General features: G+C 42.2%; 1 protein-coding gene and 1 long non-coding RNA gene across 8 annotated transcripts in view; both read right to left on the reverse strand.

Annotated features, from left to right (window-relative positions):
• Positions 1 to 25,613, reverse strand: LOC124907867 (periaxin-like). The gene is made up of 2 exons (XM_047446748.1): positions 25,554 to 25,613; positions 1 to 2,620 (listed from the first exon to the last, which is right to left on the reverse strand). Exon 2 carries the CDS (start codon positions 2,617 to 2,619, stop codon positions 451 to 453), a length of 2,169 nt encoding a protein of 722 aa, XP_047302704.1. The 5' UTR covers position 2,620; positions 25,554 to 25,613; the 3' UTR covers positions 1 to 450.
• The window catches only part of MIR4435-2HG (MIR4435-2 host gene), a 299,296-nt gene that overhangs the window by 26,729 nt on the left and 246,886 nt on the right, over positions 1 to 25,681 (reverse strand). For 2 of the 7 annotated variants that reach the window (NR_136162.1, NR_136166.1), the window contains exon 4: positions 11,034 to 11,145. The exons of 1 other annotated variant lie outside the window; for it this stretch is intronic. This is a non-coding gene — a long non-coding RNA (MIR4435-2 host gene). Of the gene's footprint in view, positions 1 to 11,033; positions 11,146 to 17,207; positions 17,403 to 25,553; positions 25,648 to 25,681 lie in introns of all 7 variants that reach the window. 4 more of the 7 variants (NR_136163.1, NR_136161.1, NR_015395.2 and 1 more) reach the window with 4 other exon arrangements.

Consider the following 25,681-nt stretch of genomic DNA (forward strand, 5'->3'; position numbering starts at 1 on the left):
TTTTCTCTCTATCAAAACTTTATTGAATGTCCATCATGTGCTAGACTTTGCAACAAAGCCAAGTCAGACTTGGCCTGCCCTCTGGGAACTCACAGGCAACAAAGTTCATGATCAAAGTAATGTCAGCTAAGAATTTTGCTAGCTAGGCACAGAACGCATAGGAAAGATGAGGTCAAGGCAAGTTTCTTAGAAGCCATGAAGGCTGAGCTGAATTTGGGGACTCCAGAAAACAGAAGACGTAAAATTGCAAAAGGTCCTTGTTCTCAAAATGTTGTCTTAAAAGCTCTGAGCTTCCTGAAAGATTTCAGGCAAGCCAGGGGAGGGAGGGCAGGCATGGCTAACTTTGCATTTAGGACAGATCCCCTTGGCAGCCATGTTGGGCATAGATGGGAAGATAGGAAGGCCAGGGGAATGGTCATACCCCAGCGAAGAAGTGATGAGTGCCTGGGTTCAAGCAGGATCCATGGGGTGTGGGGGGACAGTGCGGTTTTCAGAGGCAGTAAAGAAGAGGGGCTCCCCAGCTTGGATTTGGTGGTGGTGGGAAAGGGAGGATTTAAGATGATATCCAGTTTCCTGGTTCAAGCAGTGGACACACATTTGGGGGAAAGAGGACAAGTTCTGTTTTGCAGATGGCGTATTCTGGACATCCGGGAGATACATTCGGGGGAAACAGGACGAGTTCAGTTTTGCCGATGGCGTATTCTGGACATCCGGGAGATACATTCGGGGGAAAGAGGACGAGTTCAGTTTTGCAGATGGCATATTCTGGACATCCGGGAGATACATTCTGGGGAAAGAGGACGAGTTCAGTTTTGCCGATGGCGTATTCTGGACATCCGGGAGATACATTCGGGGGAAAGAGGACGAGTTCAGTTTTGCAGATGGCGTATTCTGGACATCCGGGAGATACATTCGGGGGAAAGAGGACGAGTTCAGTTTTGCAGATGGCGTATTCTGGACATCCGGGAGATACATTCGGGAGAAAGAGGACGAGTTCAGTTTTGCAGATGGCGTATTCTGGACATCCGGGAGATACATTCTGGGGAAAGAGGACGAGTTCAGTTTTGCAGATGGAGTATTCTGGACATCCGGGAGATACATTCGGGGGAAAGAGGACGAGTTCAGTTTTGCAGATGGAGTATTCTGGACATCCGGGAGATACATTCTGGGGAAAGAGGACGAGTTCAGTTTTGCAGATGGCGTATTCTGGACATCCGGGAGATACATTCGGGGGAAACAGGACGAGTTCAGTTTTGCAGATGGCGTATTCTGGACATCCGGGAGATACATTCGGGGGAAAGAGGACGAGTTCAGTTTTGCAGATGGCGTATTCTGGACATCCGGGAGATACATTCGGGGGAAAGAGGACGAGTTCAGTTTTGCAGATGGCGTATTCTGGACATCCGGGAGATACATTCTGGGGAAAGAGGACGAGTTCAGTTTTGCAGATGGCGTATTCTGGACATCCGGGAGATACATTCGGGGGAAAGAGGACGAGTTCAGTTTTGCAGATGGCGTATTCTGTACATCCGGGAGATACATTCGGGGGAAAGAGGACGAGTTCAGTTTTGCAGATGGCGTATTCTGGACATCCGGGAGATACATTCGGGGGAAAGAGGATGAGTTCAGTTTTGCAGATGGAGTATTCTGGACATCCGGGAGATACATTCTGGGGAAAGAGGACGAGTTCAGTTTTGCAGATGGCGTATTCTGGACATCCGGGAGATACATTCGGGGGAAACAGGACGAGTTCAGTTTTGCAGATGGCGTATTCTGGACATCCGGGAGATACATTCGGGGGAAAGAGGACGAGTTCAGTTTTGCAGATGGCGTATTCTGGACATCCGGGAGATACATTCGGGGGAAAGAGGACGAGTTCAGTTTTGCAGATGGCGTATTCTGGACATCCGGGAGATACATTCGGGGGAAAGAGGACGAGTTCAGTTTTGCAGATGGTGTATTCTGGACATCCGGGAGATACATTCGGGGGAAAGAGGACGAGTTCAGTTTTGCAGATGGCGTATTCTGGACATCCGGGAGATACATTCTGGGGAAAGAGGACGAGTTCAGTTTTGCAGATGGCGTATTCTGGACATCCGGGAGATACATTCGGGGGAAAGAGGACGAGTTCAGTTTTGCAGATGGCGTATTCTGGACATCCGCGAGATACATTCTGGGGAAAGAGGATGAGTTCAGTTTTGCAGATGGCGTATTCTGGACATCTGGGAGATGATACATTCGGGGGAAAGAGGACGAGTTCAGTTTTGCAGATGGCGTATTCTGGACATCTGGGAGATACATTCGGGGGAAAGAGGACGAGTTCAGTTTTGCAGATGGCGTATTCTCGACATCCGGGAGATACATTCTGGGGAAAGAGGATGAGTTCAGTTTTGCAGATGGCGTATTCTGGACATCTGGGAGATACATTCGGGGGAAAGAGGACGAGTTCAGTTTTGCAGATGGCGTATTCTGGACATCTGGGAGATGATACATTCGGGGGAAAGAGGACGAGTTCAGTTTTGCAGATGGCGTATTCTGGACATCCGGGAGATACATTCTGGGGAAAGAGGACGAGTTCAGTTTTGCAGATGGCGTATTCTGGACATCCGGGAGATACATTCTGGGGAAAGAGGACGAGTTCAGTTTTGCAGATGGCGTATTCTGGACATCTGGGAGATACATTCGGGGGAAAGAGGACGAGTTCAGTTTTGCAGATGGCGTATTCTGGACATCCGGGAGATATTCGGGTGTGTCCTCAGTGGCTCAAGCCCAGGACAAGGACCCAAGACTCCAAGGCAACATGTGGTGAAATCCACGGCTGAGTCTATCGCTGAGTGGGACCACGTAGGTCCTGCTATAGAAGAGGTGAGTCCCAAGGCCAAAGCTGGGTTCCCTGACCTCTAAGATGGTAACAGCAGAGAAGGACGGTACAAAGAAGATTGAGAAATCCTGGCCAGAGCAGGTGGACAACAAAAGGGTTTCTGGAAGAAGTGTCTACTGTGTCAAACATTAAAAGAAGGTTAAGTAAGAAAAAGGTCGGAAGTGTCCACTGGTTGGGACAAAGAAGAGGCAGCGAGTATCAGTAGCTGGTTCAGGAAGATTGGTTGTGAAAGGAAGGTGGGATGAGAGGGGAAAATGTGGTCAAGAGAGAGGTTTTTGTCAGGATGGGGGACTTTAGCGCATGTAAAGCATGGAGGATTGCTTTAAATTGCAGTTTACAGAAATGCAGCAGACTTTTCTGTCTCAGGGGAGTGGCACAGTTTCTTTTGCACCTTCTTAAGCTTGCATGGCTCTGGAAAGTGAGCTTTCTCTATCAACATGTGGAAATAGAGGGTAGGACAGAGTAAGAGGCGTTGTACAAGAAAACAACAGGAGGATTGAAGGGGAACCAGTGGGAGGGAGGAGGAGTGAGCAGAAAGGAGGTGGAGCTCAAAAGAGAGAGGAGAGGAGCTGAGTATGTGTGGAAGAAGAGAGGTCATGCGAAGAACTTCTCAGGGCAGCCAGGCATGGCTTGGCAGACTGGGGATGACTAAGATTCCACTTGCAGTTACCTGCTTAACCAGGTAACCTCAAAGCCCAGTAAACGTCACTCATGCCCAATCACTTTTGTGTCAGTAGAGTTTGGAGGTCTTTATTAGGGACAAAGGTTTAGATCAATATGTGGAAAAAAGAAGAAAATAGCCATAAGAATTAGAATATGAATGAGAAACATAATTCTGCTTGAGTCAGTGCAGGGGTAGACAAGTGTCTATTTCCCCCTGACTGTGAGGAGGGTCTGTCCATTTCATTGGTTATATCAGGAGGGAGGCTGGCAGGTTTGGGGCTGCAGGTTCCTGATTGTTGGTTTACAGAGGTTAAAAACCCAGGAAAAATGGAAAGGTTGAAGAAATGGGTCAGTTTCTTCTGTCTTTGTGCTGCTCCTTCCATCTTTCCTCCCACACATGGAGGACAGCATCCTCCACCCCACAACTCAAGTTCCTTTCCAGCTTTCAGATGCTCCCCGTCTGCCCTGGAGGCAGCATCAAACCCTGCAGGTGACTGGGTGCAGGTGATTTGGTAATTTTGCCAAATTACCAATCACTATTTCCCAAAAGTCAATTAATTGAAAAACAATTTGCTGAAAATTAATTTTCCAAACGATCAATTTCCATGAGAAGTGATCTCTGGAATTCACCCAAAAGTTGCTTTGGTTAATTACTTTTAAAATTATAACAATTTGTGTGCTCTGGTTTCTAAAACACTGAGGATTTCCCCCCAGCTTTGGTTTTCTATTTCACTTATATTTAGCAGTTTAGTTTGCAAGTGTCAGGTATGTTTTTATCAGCCGTTTTGCTGTGGATTTCTCAGTCCCTCCCTGGTAAATGTCAATTTCATGTGGGTTTCCATATTTCAGGAGTGGGACACTTCTCAAACACACAATATTTTTTTGGTGTCAATAGACGGGTTTTCCCTCAACCACATTTATTGTCAATTCCAATTTTAGACTTGTGTCTAAATTGGACTACAGTTCCCACTTTTGGATTTTGTCATTGGGGAAGTTGTCATGGATATGTGAAAATTAACATGCAGAAAAAACTTTTATTTGGCTGACTGCCAAACCACTTTGAAAAAAAGAAGATGACGAAAATTGGTGTAAAATTGCACTTGAAGGGCAAGATCATCTTTTCTGAAAACCAAAGGTTAGAATATAAAAAGCCTCATGAATTGCCAAAACCTTTATAGTAACTACTGAGGAGTAGTCAGCTTCTGAAATATGAACCACATGCCTATAAATCTGATAGAAAACAGTGGTAGAGAAACTAAAAATGCAACATCTCAACTAAATACAACCAAAGGCCAAAATGTTGGGAAAAAATCATTACCAGATTTCGAAACTTTCTGTGAAACACATATGATTACACATTTTGTAAATAATTACTACAAAGAAGTTTTTAGTGATTTGGGAATCTGTGAAACTGGTCGTTTTGCAAATTGATTTTTAACATAGTGGCTTTTAGGCAATTGGTGTGACTTTTGGCAAATGTTCTTGAGGTCAGGAGTTTGAGACCAGCCTGGCCAACATGATGAAACCCCGTCTCTACCAAAAAATACAAAAAGTAGCTGAGCGTGATGGTGCTTGCTTGTAGTCCCAGTTACTGGGGAGGCTGAGGCATAAGAATCGCTTGAACCCAGGAGGCGGAGGTTGCAGTGAGCCAAGATCGTGCCACTGTACTCCAGTCTGGGCAACAGAGTGAGACCCTTTCTCAAAAAAAAAAAAAAAAAAAAATTGCTAACACAGAAGCATTAAGCCAGCACCACACATTCCACACATTCCACACATTTAATTCCTGTGGCTTCCTCCTGCCTTGAGCAGTCTGGGGATGCAACTGGGGCCAACCCAGTGGGCAGTGCATTGAATGCAGTGACATTACTAACATCTGTTTCTGACCCGTACTTCTGCTGTGACCCATATGTGGCCTCCTCTGCTCTCAGGCTGAAGTCCAGGCACCTCGTGGGACCTTCCAGGCCTCACGGATCTGGCTCCTCTACCCCATGAGCCCAGTGAACACCTCTCGTGTGCAGGGCCTGGCGTCCGACCTGCCCTTGAGATGCACCCCGCCACACTGCAGTCGGTGTCTTGTGCACTCCTCTCTAGTGTGCCACCTCTGAAAGGTGGGCACCAGCCAACCCTGGTCACCATTCACAGTAGCACAGCTAAACGGGATCAATTAGTGATTTTTAAAGTTCAGTGCTTTGAGACTTCTGCTTCTGGAAAGATGGAGTAGATATATTTTTCCTTATTCTTCTCACTAAGTACAACTAAGGCATTGTATAAAACAAACATAAGAAGACTGAAAGATACAGAGAAGAAGGCAGCCCGACTAGGGACCTCAGCCTCCCAACCCCAGCTCCCCAGGTAGTGTCAGGAAGGCCAGGTGCAGAGTCTGGACAGGACTTCCTGCCTGGAGATAACGAGCTGCTGACCCTCCTCCATGCAGTGTGAATGGAGAACACGCAGGAAGCTTGGGCTGCCCCCCGCCAAGAAGAAGGCACCCAAAAGGTGTGCAGTAAAAGCCAACAGAACTGAGAGGAAAAATAGACAAATTCATAATTATCATTGGGCATTTTGCTACTGTTTCTCTGCCTTTCTCTCCAACTGATATAAAACCAAGCAGAAAATCAGCAAGGATGCAGAAGACCTCAACAACATCTTCAATTAACAGGGTCTAATTGACATTTCTAGAACGCTGTACCCAAAACCTGCAGAATACACATTCTTTTCATGTGCCCAAAGACCATATACCAGGATACATGACATCTTGGGCTGTAAAACAAGCCTTGGCAAATGTAAAATAATCGAAATTATACAGAGTGTGTTCTTGGACCACAATCGAATCAAACAAGAAATCAGTAACAGAAATATAGCAGGAGAATCTCAAATAACTTACAAATTAAACAACACATTTCTAAGTAACCCATGGTTTAAAGAGGAAATTCTTCAAATCAATAAGCTAAGCTCTCGCCTCAAGATACTAGAAAAAGAAGAGCAAAATAAACCCAATGCAAGCAGAAGGAAAAAAAAAGATTGCCCAGAAAACAGTAAAAATGAAAACAAAGAAACAATAGAGAAAATCCATGAAACAAAAGCTAGTCCTTGAAAAGGTCAATGAAGTTGACTAACCTGTAGCAAGACTGACAAAGAAGAAAAGAACACATAAATTGCCAACATCAGGAATCAGGGGATATCACTAAAGACCCTGCAGGCATCAAAAGGTTAATAAGAAAATACTATGAATAATTCCAGATACATAAATTTGACAACTTAGATGAAATGGACCAATTGCTTGAAAAGCACAAACTTCCACAATTTATCTAAAATGAAATAGATCATTTGAATAGCCTTATAACTATTAAGGAAAATTAATTTATAATTTTTAAAAGCCATAGGAAGAAATTTATAGGCTTGGGGGTTTTGCTGGAGAATTATACCAAAAGTTTATAGAACAATTAACACCAATTTTATACAGTGTCATCCAGAAAATAGTAGAGGAAGGAAAGGTCATTTCCTAATTCATTTTATGAGGTCAGTATTACCCTGATGCTAAAACTAGGAAAGGACAGTATAAAAAATGAAAATTATAGTCCAGTGTCCCTCATGAATATAGACATAAAAATCTATAAGAAAAATACTAACAAATAGAATTCTTTAATATAAAAGATCATTATATAACATGACCAAGTGGGGTTTATCCCAGGAATACAAGGCTGGTTTAATATTCTAAAATCAATCAGTGTAATAATCCACCATATTAACAGGCCTAAAGAAGAAAAATCACATGATTATTTCAATTGCTGCAAAAAGGACAAATACAAAATTCAATACTCATTCATGATGAAAACTCTAAAAAATCTGGAGCTGAAGGAAACTTCCTCAACTTGATAAAAACATCTACAACATCATACTTAGTGATGAAAAATGTAATGCTTTCTCCCTAAGATCATAAGGCAAGGCTGTTTAACATAATACTGTAAGTTCTAACCAGTGCAATAAGACAAGAAAGGGAAATAAAAGACCCACAGGACAGAAAAGAAATAAAACTATTGCTATCTGCAGATTACATAAAGGTGTGTGGAAAATCCCAAGGAATCTATCAAAAATCTCCTAGAATTAATAAGCTCAGCAAAGTCATAAGATCAACATAAAATTAGTTGTATTTCTATATGCTAGCGATAAACATGTGGAAACCCAAATTAAAAATGCAATACCATTTGCAATCACACAGAAAAAAAGAAAACAAATACTTAGGTGCAAATCTAGCAAAACATGTACTTGAAGGGTTTATATGCCTAAACTATGCAATGTCGATGAAAGAAATCAAAGGCAATTGAAATAAATAGAGACACCCATCACATTCATGGATTGAAAGACAACAATTCTCCTATATTCATATACAGTTTTAACAAAATTTGCATTAAAATACCAGCAATGTTTTCTGTAGATAAGATTATTCGAAAATTTATAAGAAAGGTCACAAAAACTAAACTAGCCTAAGCAATTCTAAAAAAGAAGAATAAATGGACAAGAACCAGTCTACTCAAGGCTAAGGCTTTCTACTTAGCAACAGTGATCAAGACAGTGTGATATTGGCAGAGGATTAGACACACAGATCAGTGGAACAGACAAAGAATCCAAAAAGAGACCCAGAAAAATATGGCCAAATGATTTTTGATGAAGATCCAAAATGGATAAAGAATGGGCTTTTCAACAAATAGTGCTTGAGTAACTAGGGAAGTGTGGGCTTACAGAAAAAGGTACTTTGTACCTAACACATTATAAAAAAAAAAAAGAGCAAAACAAAACTCAAAATAGATCACAGCCTTAAATGTAAAATGTAAAACTATAAAGCTTTCAGGAAAAAACAGGACAAAATTTCCAGGAGCTCCTAGTTGGCTAGACTTGGCACCAAAACATGTTGTATAAACTGAAAATTGATAAATTGGACTTCATAAAAATTAAAGACATTTGCCAGTAAAATATCATAAGAGAATGCAAAGACAAGGTGCAGATTAGGAGAAAGTATTTCTAAATAATTCTGATATCTGATCGTCAATAAAGGACTCATATCTAGAATTTATTTAAAGAACTGTTAAATCTTATCAATAACAAATAAACAGTCTAATTAGATATTGGGCAAAAGGCATGAAGAGCCATTTTACCAAAGATGGAAAATAAGCATATGAAAAGATGCTCAACACCACTGCCCACTAACAAAATGTAAATTAAGACTCTCATTTTATATCACCACACACCTATCAGAGCAGCAAAAATAAAATTTAAAATAGAATCTATGTCAAATGTTGACCCAGATGCTAAGAAATTAGGTCTACATTACTGGTGAGAATGTAAAATGGCACAACCACTTTGGGAAGTAGTTGGGCAGTTTCTTAAGAGTATCTTACTCCATTTGAGCTGCTATGACAAAATACCATAAACTGGGTGGCTTAAACCAGAAACAATTATTTCTCACAGTTCTGGGGGATAGGGAGTCTAAGATTAGGGCACTGGCAGGGTTAGTATCTGATGAGGGCTGGCTTCCTGGTTCACAGATGGCACCTTCTCACTGTATCCTCACATGGTGAAAGAAGAAAGGCAGCTCTCTAGCGCCTCTTTCTTCAGGGCACTAATCCCATTTGTAAAGGCCCTGCCCCTAAGACCTAATTAACTCTCAAGGGCCCAATCTCCTAACACCATCACATTGGCGATTACGTTTCAACATATAAATTTTTGGGGGCGACACAAAATCCACACTCTAGCACTAGGATACGCTTTTCATACGATCTAGCAATGATATTCTTGGACATTTATTTCAGAGAAATGGAAATATGTGCACATAAAAACTTGTATATGATTCTTCACGGCAGCTTTATATGTAATAACTCAAACCTAGAAACAACCAAAATGTCCTACAATAGAAGAATGGTGAAACAAACTGTGGTATATCCATACCATGGAATACTACTCAATAATAAAGAGAAACAAATTATTGATACATACAACTTGGATGGATCTCAAGGGCACTACACTGAAGGGGAAAAAAAGCCATTCTCAATAGGTCACATATTGTATAATTCCATTTATGTAAAATGCTCACTATTACAAAATTGTAGAACTGGAGACCAGAGTAATGGTTGCCAGGGGTTAGTTATGGGTGGGGTCATGGGGGAGCAGTGGATGTGACTTTAAAGGGACAGCATGAGGGAGAACTTTGTTGTGATGGCACAGTTCTGCATCTTGATTGTGGCTGAACGTGCATCAGTCTACATCTGTGATAAAAATGGCACAGAATGTCATACACATACACACACACACACATTGTACCGATATGGATTTCCTGGTTTTGACATTATACTATAGTTAGGTAAGATGCTAATCACCAGGGAAAATCAGAGAAAGTGAACACGAGACATGAATCTTTAATTTTTTCAAAACAAGGTTTTTTGAAATGTTGTTCAATTGCATTCTGGCTTCTATGCTCTGTCGCCCGGGCTGGAGTGCAGTGGTGTGATCTCGGCTCACTGCAACCTCTGCCTCCCAGGTTCAAGCGATTCTCCTGCCTCAGCCTCCTGAGTAGCGGGGACTACAGACACACACCACTGCGTCTGGCTAAGTTTCTTATTTTTTAGTTGAGACAGGGTTTTGCCCAGGTTTCGCCCAGGCTGGTCCTGAACTCCTGACCTCAAGTGATCTGCCCACCTCGGCCTCCCAAAGTGCTGGGATTACAGCGTGAGCCACAGCGCCCGGCCTGGCCTCTATGGTTTCTGATGAGAAATCTACAACCCTTTAAATAATTGTAATTTTATAAATAATGTCATTTTTCATTGCTGCTTTGAAGATAATTCCTTTGTTCCTAGTTTTCAGTAGTTTCCTTATGATGTCTCTAAGTGAGAATCTCTTTGAGCTTATTCTGTTTGGGATTCTCTGAGCTTCTCAAATCTACAAGTTTATGTGTTTTGCCAAATTCAGAAATATTTTTAGCCATAATTTTTTCAAATATTTTTCAGCTCCTCACTCATTATACTCTCCTCTTGGGACTTTAATGTTACAAATATTAAGCCATCATTTTCTGTCATTATGGGTCCTTCTGAGCGACATGTTTACTTTCCAAGAATTGTCAACTTTTTGTCAAATCTGCATTGTTAATCCCCAACCCGGAGGAACACCTGTACACACTCACCTTCTCTGCATTAATTGTTGGGTTCCCAAACATGGCTAGTAACTGGTCAAAATGGGATTTCCTGGGTGTGTAGCCAGTTATAGTTCTGGGCCTCTATCACTTCCAGTATTGATCTCTTGTTGAAAAAATTTCACATTCCCAACAGTGACTCCTCTATTCAAGGTCTCACATCCCTCTCATGGAGCAATGTGCTCACCCTGTGCTGGTAGCACCCTCAGAAACGCTCCACACGGAGTGGCTAGACACCTTGCCACCTTTTCTTTCCCTCCTGGTCTCCTAATGATCCTCCTTTTCCCAACTAAACTCAGGGTTACTCGCCTTAGGATCTTGTTGCTTCCTTGAGAATCTTGCTCCAAATTTTATCCTCCCCACCTTCTGCTCCAGTGGCTTCTTTTCTTCCACTTGTAGACATCCTCAGGCTCGTCCAAGACTTAAACAACAAGAACAAGAACATCAGCCTCCAGAATCTTCCTTAACCTTGCTCTTTCTTCAAGTTGGAGCTATCTTGTTGAAATTTTTCTGTCAGGACAGAATTTCTCAGTCACCCAATCCAAGAGTCTCTCCACATTGGTCCACCGTGTCTCTCTGTTACTGAAATGCTCTCCCCTGCTTCCCTCAGCTTCTCATATACCTCCTTCTCTTTCTGAGCCTTGGATCCTCCTCCACTGACTCCTCATTGCCTTTATCTATTTTTATAAGGTTTTTATTGAGGTGTAACATGCCATATTAGTCTGTTTTGTTTTCTACACAGGAATACCTGAGAGTGGGCAATTTATAAAGGAAATATGTATATTTGGCTCATGGTTCTGCAGGCTGTACAAAAAGCATGGCACCAGCATCTGCATCTGGTAAAGCCTCAGGAAGCTTCCACTTATGGCAGAAGGTAAAGGGAGAGCAGGCATGTCACGAGGTGAGAGAGGAGGAGGAGGAAGAAGAGCGGTGGGAGGAGTGCCACTCTCTTAAACAACCAGCTCTAGCATGAACTAATAGAGTGAGGACTCACTCATTACTGAGGAGAGGGCACCAAGCCATTCCTGAGGGGTCCGCCTCCATGACCCAAACACCTCCCACTAGGCCCCACCTCCAACACTGGGGGTCACATTTCAGAATGAGATTTGGAGGGGGCAACATCCAAACTACATCACATGCATACAGTAAAGTGCATAAATATTAAGAGCTGGGTGAATTTTTGCACACATACATAGGTGTGACTACCACTGTGAATGAGATACAGGCCACTCCCAGAAGTGCCTCTCTTTCCCTCCCAGGCAATCCACATTCTCCCTTGCTCTTGCTCTTCAATAACCACTATCCTATCCACATGGATTATTTCTGCCTGTTCTAAAACTTCATATAAATGGAACCATGTAGTATGTCTTTTGCGTCTGCTTTTTTTTTTTTTTTTTTTTTTTTTTTTTGAGACAGAGTCTCACTCTGTCACCCAGGCTGGAGTGCAGTGGTGCAATCTTGGCTCACTGCAACCTCCACCTCCTGGGTTCAAGCAATTCTCTTCCTCAGCCTCCCAAGCAGCTGGGATTACAGGCACGCGCCACCACGCCCAGCTAATTTGTGTATTTTTAGTAGAGATGGGGTTTCATCATCTTGGCCAGGCTAGTCTTGAACTCCTGACCTCAAGTGATCCACCTGCCTCAGCCTCCCCAGCGTGCTGAGATTACAGGCGTGAGCCACCACGCCTGGCCAAGTTGGCTTTCTTTTACACAACATGATGCCTAGTGGATTCACCCATGTTTCTGTGTGCATCCGCAGTTCATTCCTTTTTATTGGTAGGTAGCATTCCATTGTGTGAACACGCCATGATTTGTTTACTCATTCCACTCCTGAGGGACATTTGAGTTTTTTCCCCTTAGGCTTTTTGTAAATTCAGCACCCTTCCATATTTTGTCTTCATCTTTCTTCAAGGTATCTCTTTTTTTTTCTCAAAATGATCCAGAACAATAGGCATTCAGCCTTCCCTGGAACCGGCCTTTTCCTGCCGCCAGAGCAGTAGCCAACATAGTTTCTGGCATCAGGAGGTTAAGTCAAAGTTATCAGTCAAAACACACCGGGAGAGAAAGTGGAAATTGGTACACAGCAGCGTATAATTAAGCAATCGCAAGCTTTGGGAGGCATAAAGGGGAATCTCAGGGCCAGCCTCTCAGCTGTGAAGTTCTGCAAGTAGAGTCCATGGCAAGGGGGGCGGCAGGCACAGCGGACACCCCGTCACTGCAGCTCTCTGAGCCCTGCAAGTTCTAGGCTGGGGCTGGGCTCCCTGGCCTTCTGCCTAGAGCCCTTAGGCAACCAAAATGACAGCCCAGGAGAGCCAAGAGCCACAAGGTTATTTTTCTAAGACGTAAAGTGAATTATGTCATCCACCCAGACCTCTTTGTCCAAGAGAACAACCTCGAGTCTCCTCCTTCAGGACCCTCAGATAGATCTTCCCAGAAACAGAGCAGGGGAAAGAGAGAGGAGGAGACGCTGGAGCCACAGGGCTGGAGCAGTTGGATGGGCCTCTGACAGCAGAGGGAGAGGCGACTGCATAGGGAAACAGAGAGGGACAAAGTGAGTTATGCTTGAGAGAGCTTGAGGGCTACAAAGCTCAATGTTTATGTGAATATAATCAAAGGAAAGGGGAAAGATTTGGGAGAGAGACACCCGAGAAAACCCCAAGAAGCCACAAGACCTAGACAACAACTGCCAATCTGGTAATGACTGGGTGTGCTGTGGAGTTGGTGTTTATCCCAGACAAAGCCAGTGCTTTCCCGAGATCTGGTGACAATTTGGGGCACATATATTTAGGGAGGAGGACAAGCCCTGGGAAGAGGTTTTGAGTCAGGAGACCTGTGGTTGGGCCTCAGCCATGTGGTCCGCTGCCCTCCAGCTCTGACAGCAGAGTCCCTTCTGCTGGCAGAGTCTCTGCCTGTGAGTGGCAGCAGGCCAGCCCAGCTCCATTGGCCCTTCTGGATCTAAGAGGTCTGGCTTCTCAGGCCCAGGCTTGCAAAGCCTCTGGCTGAACTTCACAGTGACCTTGCCAGCGCACACCTGAGCCACACCTCATTGCTTTTGAGTATACCTGAACCTCAGGCAAGGTTTGGTTTAATTCCTAACTTCTTACTGCAGAACAGAGGAAGTCAATTTGGAGTCAAATCCTCATGAGGCTTCTCTTATTCCAGGGTATTTATTTGCTTGATGATTTTGAACCATTTATTTGGACACACAAAGTTCTATCTGGCAAAGAACCGTTGGCTCCAACATCCTCAAACAACGCTAGTTTTAGATGCTGATAGGGTCTCTAATAGGAGGCAAAGAAACGTAACACCCAGCCAGGCAATTGCAAAGTTGAATGTGAGAGTCTAGCTTTTTGAGAATCCTTCTAAAAGCCATGTGATAAGGGATTGTCACAGTGAGGATAACAAATTCACATCTAAGGGATGAAGGTAAAACTTACTCCAATGCTCTGCAAATGGCTGTGGGGGGTGGCTCTTCCTGGGAAGCACCCCTCAGACTTGGAGTCACTGCATCCTACTTGATTTAACTGAAGCAAAGGCAATGTATTCATCAACAAACTGTGACATAATTAAAGAGAGATCTTGTGTCGACCAAGATGCTGGTGCTGTAAAGGAGGTGAGTAATGTGGGAAAAAGCAATGTTTCCAAACTCATGTAGCATTTTACTTTATTTTATTTTATTTTATTTTATTTTATTTTATTATTTTATTGTTTGAGACGAAGTCTTGCTCTATCACCCAGGCTGGAGTGCAGTGGCGCAATCTCGGCTCACTGCAACCTCTGCCTCCCAGGTTGAAGCCATTCTCTCCTGCCTCAGCCTCCCAAGTAGCTTGGACTACAGGCATGCATCACCATACCTGGCTAATTTTTTGTATTTAGTATAGATGGGGTTTCACCATGTCGGTCAGGCTGGTCTTGAACTCCTGACCTCAGGTGGTCTGCCCGCCTCAGCTGCCCAAAATGCTGGAATTACAGGCGTGAGCCACGGCACAGGGCCTATTTTATTTTGTTTTATTTTTTGAGATGTAGTCTTGCTCTGTCACCTAGGCTGGAGTGCAGTGACACAATCTCAGGTCACTGCAACCTCTGCCTCTCAGGTTCAGGCAATTCTTGCACCTCAGCTTCCCAAGTAGCCGGGACTACAGGCACGCACCACCACACCTGGCTACATTTTTGTATTTTTATAGAGTCAGGGTTTCACCATGTTGTCCAAAGTGGTCTCAAACTGAACTCAGGCAATATGCTCACCTCGGCCTCCCAGAGTGCTAGGATTACAGGCATGAGCCACTGTGCCAGGCCATACTCATGTAGTATTTTAAATATGCACGAGTAACTATGTTGCTAGTTAAACAGATATTTGACTATTCTGTCTACATGCCAAAAATTGTTTAGAACATCACTTAAAATTTTTCTCACTGAAAAAGTCACATACACAGTTATATTAAAATCAGCGTATGCTATATTCTCTAATCTAGAAATAGAAAATGTCCAAGATATCTGACTAGACCTAGCCTGTGCAGTTCTATGGAATCCCTCTGAATCAGCTGCTACTCTGAAGAAGACCACCACACACAAGATGGACCCAGCCCACCCTTGGCCCAGGCCCTGGTGCACCTAACTCCAGTGCAGACCCACCCCTTCATCAACTGCACTGGAGTGGTTCTTCAATCATGTCCCATGGTCCCTGTGGCAGATGCCATACAGGTTGCAGTGGAAGATCTTCAGATGACTTGGTGACAGGTTCATGACCATCTGGTTTCAAGGTGGGCTGTCAGGCAAGTACCAAACAGGCTCTGTGGGACCAGAGTGTGCGTGTGAGTGTGAAGTTGGAGGTGGTGGAAAGAAGGCAGAGTGACTGTCCCCACGGTGCTGGCAAAAAAGAGTGGCAAACCCGCATTTTGGGTCTTTTCTCTTCTTTTATCTTCCTCACTGGCTACTGTCATCTGTAAAGAGCTCCAAGTCTTCATGTATAGAAAGCATTCAATGGGCAAGGAAGGCCCAGTCCCTACACTGGGGGATCTGCTGGCTCTACACTTCAGAGACCCACAGCTTGAAGGACAAAGTTTGCCCTCAAGTGATTTCTTCAACATCAGCCAGTTTTCCCTGAAATGTGACTGACTCATGTTCAGGGGAGCTGATATTCTAGTTGGAAAGGGGGAAGGGGAGACAGGATTGTGAGAAGGGTTGTTCTCCATTTTCAAAATAAAGAACTTCGACTACTGCACTTCCCCAAATGAGGCTTTCTCTCCAGGCACATCTTCTGGTTCACAAGCTGCTCAAGAAGGGCAGGAAGGGTCACCGCAAATCCCATCCCATTGTTCCTCCAGATCCAGCTTCCCAGAGATTACAGTCAGCTCATCTGGAAAGGAGCCTGTGAGATCGGCGAAGTCCTAGTGTAACACATTCCAAGGAACACCTCTGATTCATTACTCTTTGGAGACTGGCTCCCATTAGCAATTACTGGAAATAATGGCTGTCCACAGAGCATGGCCGGGAGTGTGGCATGCAGGGAGGATATCATAAGGTGGGCCACTGATGTGTGGAAATTAACCCAGGAGCCCACAAAGGCAACAGCTATGGGCCTGGTAGGATCTGAAGATTTCTTCTCCAGTGGCTCCTGGAGGCCTCCCTGCATTGGTTTGTGCATCTATATCCTCAACATTGAGAGTATCCAGCTGGGAATAGTGTCTACCTCAAGTCTTGGGTCCTTGGTCCCTCAAAGGTGCATGGTACCTCCAGCTGCAGAAAACATGGGGGAAGAGCTACATGACAAGTCATAAGAAGCTCTCTGGAAATATCTCCCAGGTGCCCTCTTCTAAACAGAAATGCTTCTCTGTCAAAGCAGGCCTCCCTGTGGGTGCCTGGGCCTTCCTATCTAGGCTAGGCTCTGGATGTCTACACCAGCCTCGTAAGCACACCCCTTCCCAGTGCTGAGAGGCTGTTTACAGCAGGGCCGCGCATCCTTTCTGAGGCCAAAACTGAAACAACAACAGAAACAACATAAAACCCCCTTTCTGAACCACAGCTCTGGCTTGGCGTGTAATTTTTGAGAATATACTTCTCTATTCCTTGAATGGTTACCTTTGTCTTTATGGCCCTGCTATTTATATGCTCTGAGAACTCTCCAGAAACTCCTTTTCCAAGAAATGAGCTAGCCCTTCAGTGGCCATGTTTACAGAATTTCCTGTTTTCATGATATCTGAAGAGGACAAAACTTTGGAACCTTCCAAAATAACCAGGGTTTCTGACAAACCTTGTGGACCAATGTTACTGCATTCCAACTACATGCAAACTACCTGTCACATCCAAACCTCAAAGCCTCCCCCAATTCCTTACTCTTTAGTTATTTCCTCCCCTTTCCCCCAGTCCCATAGCTATGGTGTGAGAATGGGGTTTCCACTCGGCAGCTGAGATCTGGAGTTAGAGTGGAGGAAAGTGGGTCAATTTCCCCTCTCCCCTATAGACATAAGTATACATGTACACATACCCGGGCCCATTTGAGGACAAGCCATCCATTATGCAATGAGGTCATAGGTGGCACTCCAGTCCTGGTGAGTGTTGTGGTACAGTGGGAAAAAAAAGAGGTCTCTGGAGCCATAAGGACAGAATCTTGGCTCCATTAGTTGTGAGAAGTGATCACGTGCTCACTGAGTCTGTTTCTTCATCTGTGAAATGGATTGTTCTGAGGACAGAGATATGATCACATGTTATGGGATCAATAGATGGCAGTAGCTATTGGTAATGATGATGTCATTTTCATCATCATTATTGTCATCATTGTCATGGCTAGTAAGCCTACAGATCTTTAAAAAATAGCTCCTGGGCTATAAACTAATTTCCAGCTAACATTCTTACTGGGCCAAAGTAATGTTAGGTCTAAATTTTTCAGGTTCTGGGTCTGAGCTACAGAGATTTATACACTGCATGCTGTTGTCAGCAAAGATTATAGGCTCTCCCCCATGTGTGAGTGCACATGTGTATGTACACAAGGCCTCCTATAGACAATGCACTTTCCATTGTGCCACAGAGCCAGCTAGGCCTTCTATGGAGAATGAAGTCAATCTCTTCCTGCACCTTCATGGGTTAAAGAAAGCAGGATGAAAACATTTATTCTCTTTTTTCAGGATCTCACCATCAGATTAGCCACCCTTTGACTACTGAGACATTTAAGAGTTTGAAAACACACACACACACACACACACACACACACACACACACACACTTGCACACAGGACAACTATTTGGAGGCAAATAAAGCAGGCAGATTCTGGAGAAGAGTCAACACTTACAAAAAGAGAATGGCAGATGACCCAAATGTTGGAATTAGCAGGTAAGGATTTTAACTATGTTCAGTCATGTAAAGGAAAAGATGCTCCTAATGAATAAAAAGTTGTAAAATTTCATCAGAAAAATACAAACTATAAAAAGCAACCAAATAAAAATTCTAGACTAAAACATAACATATCTGAAATAAAAATTCATCCTCTAGCAGAATAGAGACAACATAGGGAAGAGTCCATGAACTTGAAAAGGGATCAGATGAAAATGATCCAATCTAAAGAAAAGAGAGAAAAATGGCAGAGAAAAAATTGAACAGTCTCAAGGACTGGTTCAAAAATATTAAAATGTCTAACATAGGAGTAATTGGAGTTCTAGTTACTCTAGTAATTGGTACTCTTACTTCTAGGAGGGAAGAGAGTAAATGGAGCAGAAATAAATTCCCAAATATGATGAAAGGTATAAAACTTTTGATTCAAGAAGCTCATGATACTCCAAGCAGAGTAATACCTAGAGATATCATAGTTATACGCTGAATTCATAAATAAGGGAAAAACGATTGAAATCAGCTAAATAAAAATGGCACATCACACGAAACAAAAAAGCAATATTTGCTGATTTCTGATAAACAATGGAGGCCAAAAGAGAGTGAAACAACATCTTTAATGTGCCACAAAAAATTGTCAACCCAGAATTCCATATGTAGCAAAATTATCCTTCAAGAATGAAGGCAAAATAAAGACATTTCAGAAGGCTAAGAGAATTCATCGCCAGTAGATCTGTATTATAAGAAATACTAAAGGAAATTCCTTTAGTATTTCCTGAAGGGAAACGATCCTGTTGGAAATAGTGAATTTCTAGATAAATAGAAAAGACTGGTGCTTTTTCTCTTTATTTATTTAAAATACATATGATTCTTTAAAGCAAAATTTATGTCTTATGGGGTTTGTCACTTAGATGTGATGCATATGAAAATTGCAGTATAAAGAGTGATTAGGGATGGGTAGTTTTATATAACTGCAAGGTTTCTACTTACATAAGTGGCACAATCTTTTTTCTTTTTTTTTTTTTTTTTTTTCCTGAGACGGGGTCTCGCTTTGTCGCCCAGGCTGGGGTGCAGTGGCGCAATCTCAGCTCACTGCAAGCTCTGCCTTCCGGGTTCACGCCATTCTCCTGCCTCAGCCTCCCCAGTAGCTGGGACTACAGGCGCCCACCACCATGCCCGGCTAATTTTTTGTATTTTTTTTTAGTAGAAACAGGGTTTCCCTGTGTTTAGGCTGGTCTTTATCTCCTGACCTTGCGATCTGCCCACCTCAGCCTCCCAAAGTACTGGGATTACAGGCGTGAGCCACCGCCCCCAGCCAAGTGGCACAATCTTTAATAGATTGTGAAAAGTAAGGGAAATGCATTGTAATCTCTACACAATCAATAAAAAAAGCAAAGAAGTGGCTGGGCATGGTGGCCCACGCCTGTAATCCTAGCACTTTGGGAGGCCGAGGCAGGTAGACTGCCTGAGCTCAGGAGTTTGAGACCAGCCTGGGCAACACGGTGAAACTCTGCCTCTACTAAAGTACAAAAAATTAGCCGGGCATGGTGGTGGGCACCTGTAATCCCAGCTACTTGGGAGGCTGAGACAGGAGAATTGCTTGAACCCAGGAGGTGGAGGTTGCAGTGAGCTGAGATCATGCCATTGCATTCCAGCCTGGGTGACAGAGGGAGACTCTGTCTCAAAAAAAAAAAAGTTAAATAAGTATAGCTAGAAAGCCAATAGGTAAATCAAGAAAGAATTCTAAAATATGTTACAATAAGTTTAAAAGAAAGCAGAAAAAGAATAAAGGAACAGAAATCAGAGGGGATGTAGTCAGAAAACAAATGGTAAAATGAAAGATACATATCCAAATGTGTCAATAATTACTTTAAATGCTCATGGACTAAAAACTCCAATTAAAAACAAAGATTGTCAAAATGGATAAAAAAGCTTTCTATAAGAGATGCATTTTAAACAGAAAGAAACAGATATATTAAGAAGAAATAAATAGAAAAAGAAATACCATGAAAAGAGTATAAGAAGAATATAGGACTGTTGAAGTGGCTATATTATTATCAGATGACATTAAATTCAAAATAAGACTACTGCCAGACATAGAGTGGGATATGTTATAATGATAAGAATTAAGAATTAATTCATCAGAAGACATTATAATCATAAACGTATATAGGCCTAGTAACAGAGCTTCAAAATAAATGAAGCAAAAATGACAGAATTAAAAGAAGTAGACAATCCCACAATCATAGTTGGAAATTTTAACATCTCTCAATGACTGTTGATAGAAAAACTAGGCCCAAAATCAGTTCAGATATAGATGATCTATGTAATACCACCATCACCTTGACTTGATTGATATTTATAGAACACTACACCCAACCATTGCAAAATATATCTTCTTTTCAGGTGCACATGGAGCTTTTGTCAAGGTAAAGCATACGTTAATCCATAAAATAAGTCTTGATGAGTTGGAAATAATTGAAATCTACAGAGCATTTTCTCTGACCACAATGGAGTTAAGTTAGAAATCGGTAACAATAAGATATCTAGGAAGACTCCACGTGTTTAGAGTCAAACAACTCACTTATTTTAAAAAAACCCATGAATTAAAGAAGAAATCACAAAGACAATTAGAAAAGCTTTTGAACAGATGAAAATGAAAATGTTACATATGAAAATTTATGAGCTCTAATTAAAGCAATGTTTAGAAGGAAATCTAGAGTTTTACATACTTACATTGGAAAGAGCAAAGGTCTAAAATCCATAACCTAAGTTTGCACCTTAAGAGTCTAAAATGAGAGAAGAAAGAAAGAAGAAAAAAAGTAAGAAAGGAAGGAAAGGAGAAAGGAGGAAAGGAGGGAGAATGGAAGGGAGGGGAAAAATACAAGAAAAGGAAAGAAAAAAAAAGAAAACCCAAAGTAAGTAGAAAGGAAAGAAATTCTATATATAATAACAGAAATAAATGAGATAACAACAAAGAATAGAGAAAATTAACAAAGCCAAAAGTCTGTTCTCTGAAAAGATCAACTCTAGCTATACTAATCAAGAAAAGGAGAGAGAATACGAATGGTCAATATCAGAATGAAAGAGGGGTTATCACTGAAAATGCTACAAGCATTTAAAAAAAGTATAAAAGCATTATGCTAACAAAATAGACAACTTAGATGAAATAGACAAATTCCTTGAAAAACACAATGTACCATAACTCATGTAGGAGAGGAAATTGAATTGAATTGAATTTATTTATTTAGTTTTTGAGACAGGATCTTGCTCTGTTGTCCAAGTGTAAGTGCTAAGGTGTTATTCCAGTCACTGCAGCCTCAACCTCCTGGGCTCAAGTGATTCTCCCACCTCAGCCTCCCAAGTAGCTGGGAGGTGCATGCCACCATGCCCGGCTAATTTCTGCATTTTTTGTAGAGACGGGGTTTTTATTATGTTGCGCCAGGCTGATCTCGAACTCCTGAGCTCAAGAGATCTGCCCACCTCAGCCTCCCAAAGTGCTGGGAATACAGGCATGAGCCACTGTGTCCAGCCAAAATGTATTATTTTTAAAAATCTTCCACAAAGAAAAGTTTGGTCAAGATTGTCTCATTAATCCTGTAAAACATTTAAGGAAGAAATATAATAGTATCATTATTTCACAAACTCTTTCAAAAACAGAGGAGGCAAGAACACTTACCAATTTATTTTAGGTAGTCTTAACTATTGCAATAATGTAAGTAAAAAAAAAAGGCATAAAGATTTTAAAAAGAAGAATTGCAACTCACTCCACACACGATGTGATTGTTTATGTGGAAAATCTTAAGAAATGCAAGAAACAACTATTACAACTAATACATCAATTGAACAAGGTCACAGGATACAAGGTTAATATTAAAATATCAATTATACTTTTATATATCAGCAGCAAGAATTTGGGAAATGAAATTAGAAAAACAATTTTATTTACAGTATCTTCAAAAAGCATAAAATACTCATGAATAAACAACAAAAGATGGACAAGATCTCTATGTTGAAAACTAAACAATTATTGAAAGAAATTAAAGAAGACACACACACACACACACACACACACACACACACACACACACAGTATCATGTTTGCAGATTGGAAGACTCAATGTTGTTGAGATGTCAGTTCTCCACAAATTGATCTGTAGAGTTATTGCAATCCCAGTAATAATGCTAGCAGGAATCTGTTGTAGAAATTTACAAATTGATTCTAAAATTTATATAGACATGCAAAGAATCTAGCGTATCTATAACAATCTTGAATTAGGAAAATAAATCTGGAGTGCTCAAACTACATGACTTTAAAACATTATAATACCGACATTGTTGGTTTTATAATTAAGACAGTATGTTACTGGCATAGGGACTGACAAATAGATCAGTGGATCTGAGAAGAGAGCTGGAAACAGGCCCATGATTACATGGTCATTTGTTTGCCAAAGGTACCAAAGCAATCAATCCATGGGGAAAGAAAAGTCTTTTCAAAAATGGTGCTGTATTAACTAGATGTTCAGAAGTAAACACACAAAGAAAACTTTAACTTATTTCTCACGTCACAAACAAAAATTAATTCTAAATTATTGTAGGGCTAAATATAAAATCATAAAACTTTTAGAGAAAATATAGGAGAGCATCTTCATAACCTGGAGACAGGCAAATGTTTATAGACAAACAGGCCACAGAAAGCAATAAACGTAACAGAAAATGAATAAATGTGTCCCTGTCAAAATTAAAAGCTTCTGCTGATAAGTGATACCATTAAGAAAATAGGCAAGCCATAGATTAGGAGAAAATATTTGCAAAACATCTGAAAAAAGATTGAAATCCTGGGTTTATGAAGAACTCTTTCAACTCAATAATAAAAAGATAATCAATCAGAAATGGATGAAACAGTTGAAGAGACAGTTCACAAAAAAGATACACAAATAGCCATTCGGTATATGAAGAGACACTTATCATTACTCATTTGGGAGATAAAAATTAAAACCACAACGAGATGCCTCTACACTTTTAACTTAAAGAATAGCTATCACCAAATATTAGTAAGGATGTGGTAACTTCTTATAAAGCTATACAAACACCTACCCCCTTGACCCAGCAGTACCACTCCTAGGGTTTTTCCCAAGAGAAATGAAAATTATGTTTACAAGAAGACTCACGGAGAGGAGAACTGCAAACATCAGATGTTCATCAACAGGAGAACGGATAAGCAAACTGAGCTTCATAGAATGGAATATCACTCAGCAATAAAAAGGAGCAGTTCAAGATATTCTCATGCCTCAGCCTCCCGAGTAGCTGGGAGTACAGGGATGCATCACCACGCCTGGCTAATTTTTGTATTTTTAGTAGAGACAGGGTTTTGCCATGTTGGCCAGGCTGGTCTCAAACTCCTGGCCTGAAGTGGTCCGCCCACCTCGGCTTCCCAAAGTGCTGGAATCACAGGCGTGAGCCACCGTGTCCGGCCTACAAATAACTTTTTTAAATTAAAAATGTGGTTCCCAGATGCAAATACAATGCGTGTGCTTTGCCCAAATCACCTAAAAATAATAAGACATTTTTAGAGTATCAGGCATCCTTTGATTTACTAATATTTATTGATTGCCTAAGATATAAGGCACAGTGAAGCTGGCAGATACACATGTATCTCCTCGCCTTCAAGGAACTTAAAATGGGCATGAAAAGTGGTCCACAGGAAATTGAAACCATGAAAGAGGTTTTAAATAATGGACTTGATGAGTGTATATACATATGTTATAGACAAAAACCCAAACAGCCTTCTTTCTTGCTCTCTCTCTCTCTCCTTCCTATCCCATTCCCTCCCACCTGCCAGCATCAACCAGACTCTATACTATTTCTCTAACTCATGATACAGGGAAGTCAGGTGTAGTGAGTGTGGCCAGGGTGAGTGAACATTTGAATGGACTCAGCCTGACTCTGGGAACATTTTAGGATCTTTGAGGAACATTCTGAGCCTTGCGTCCGCATGCAAGGTTGCAACTACAGTGCAGCCTGTGGCTTTCCTGACCCTGCCTGCAGCTGGTGTGAGGAATGGCCCCTGGTAAACATGTTTTTCTTGGTTCCAGGCATGCTTTTCCCCACAGCTGTTCTCTTCTGGCATCCAGGTTCAAAAGCATGACCTTGGTCTTCTCCCTCCCTGGGGGCCCTAATGCAGGGCTGTGTGGTTCTTGGACCCTGGGGCTGCTTTCCACCAGAGGCTCCCTTGCTCTTCCCACCAGGAAGTATATATGTTCACAGGGCCTGCAAGAGTGCACGAGCCACTGAGGGAGCCTCCTCCCAGGGTTCTGTGGTTGAGGGCAGATGAGAAAGCTGAAGGCCAGCGATGAGGGATCCTGGCAGGTCCTCTCCATGAGACATCATCTACTCATCCTTCTCCTCCCATGATGTGGGGAGGCCCACGCTCAGATGCAGTGATTTTGATACTCTGAGATTAAGCTTCCACTGCAAGAAAATGGGACTCAAAGCAGAAATTATGTTGTTACTCACCAAAATGAAGGCTATGGTCTTATACCAGGGAGCCACCAACTCAGATTTCTACACCCTACTCCTACATGATGGAAGCTCCATTTAAAAAAAAAAAAAGTACACAAATAAAAACAAACAAAATACCCAAAACAGAACAGATAGAACCAACAAAAGAACAGGGATAAAAACAAAAATCCCTTCGATTTCCTTTTTGACTGTTTTTTCTTGTCCTATGGGAGACCGACAGCCAGTTGTAGTGGAAAGAGCATTGGACAGGGAGTGTGGAGAGCTCATGCCTGTTTCCCATTGTGGGACCCCAGGCAGATCACAGCCCTTCCTGGGACCTCCATCTCCTCCTCATCTGCTCCAGCTCCCTTGAGATGCCATGATTGATGAAGCTCCCTTGGCCATCACATGGTACACATCTGTGGGGTTAAAGAAGGCATCTCACAGGAAGGGTGAAGAGTCACAGCAGCTGAGCACTTTCTGCATATCAGGCCTTGGCTAACTGCCTGTGTGAGATAGGAAAGCCATTTTACAGATGAGGAAACTGAGGCTTAGAATGTTAAGTACCATGCCTGAGTGAATCAGGATTTGAATCCACATGGACATCGGGCTTTCACATACATTGGCCCAGGCACAGTTTGAGACTGAAATTAAGAAATTGCATTTCACATCATTTTTGTTGGTTTGGTGGTCATAGTTGCTGTTTCTCTGCCATAATTAGAATCCTGCTGGAACCACACCCACCGCTCTTGAAAGATATTACTGTAGTGCGCTTCAGTGTTTGCTCCTGGGGAACGCATTATACCTCTGGGAGGCAAGATGCTTTAACAAAGAAGCACAACTGAAAAAAGAATGTCTGTTGCTTTCTGGATAAAGTATCTGTCATTTGATTCCAGTTTGCTAATCTCAAATGTAGCTTTTAAAATACACTTGTGATTTATTTTCTTTTTGAGAGTCAGGTGGAGTCCCGCATTTGTGGGACTTCATTTTTGTTTGCAAATACAATACCTTGAATAAAAATGTGCTGTGGAGCAGGCACGATGCCTTCACCAGTGTAGCCGAAGACATGTGCTATCCTCCCTGGGTCTGCTTTCTGGCCTGCCTGTGGAGGAAGGGGTGGAGGTCAATGTAGGGAT

Source organism: Homo sapiens, chromosome 2 (genome assembly GCF_000001405.40).
Source record: "Homo sapiens chromosome 2, GRCh38.p14 Primary Assembly".
NCBI classification, from domain to species: domain Eukaryota; kingdom Metazoa; phylum Chordata; class Mammalia; order Primates; family Hominidae; genus Homo; species Homo sapiens.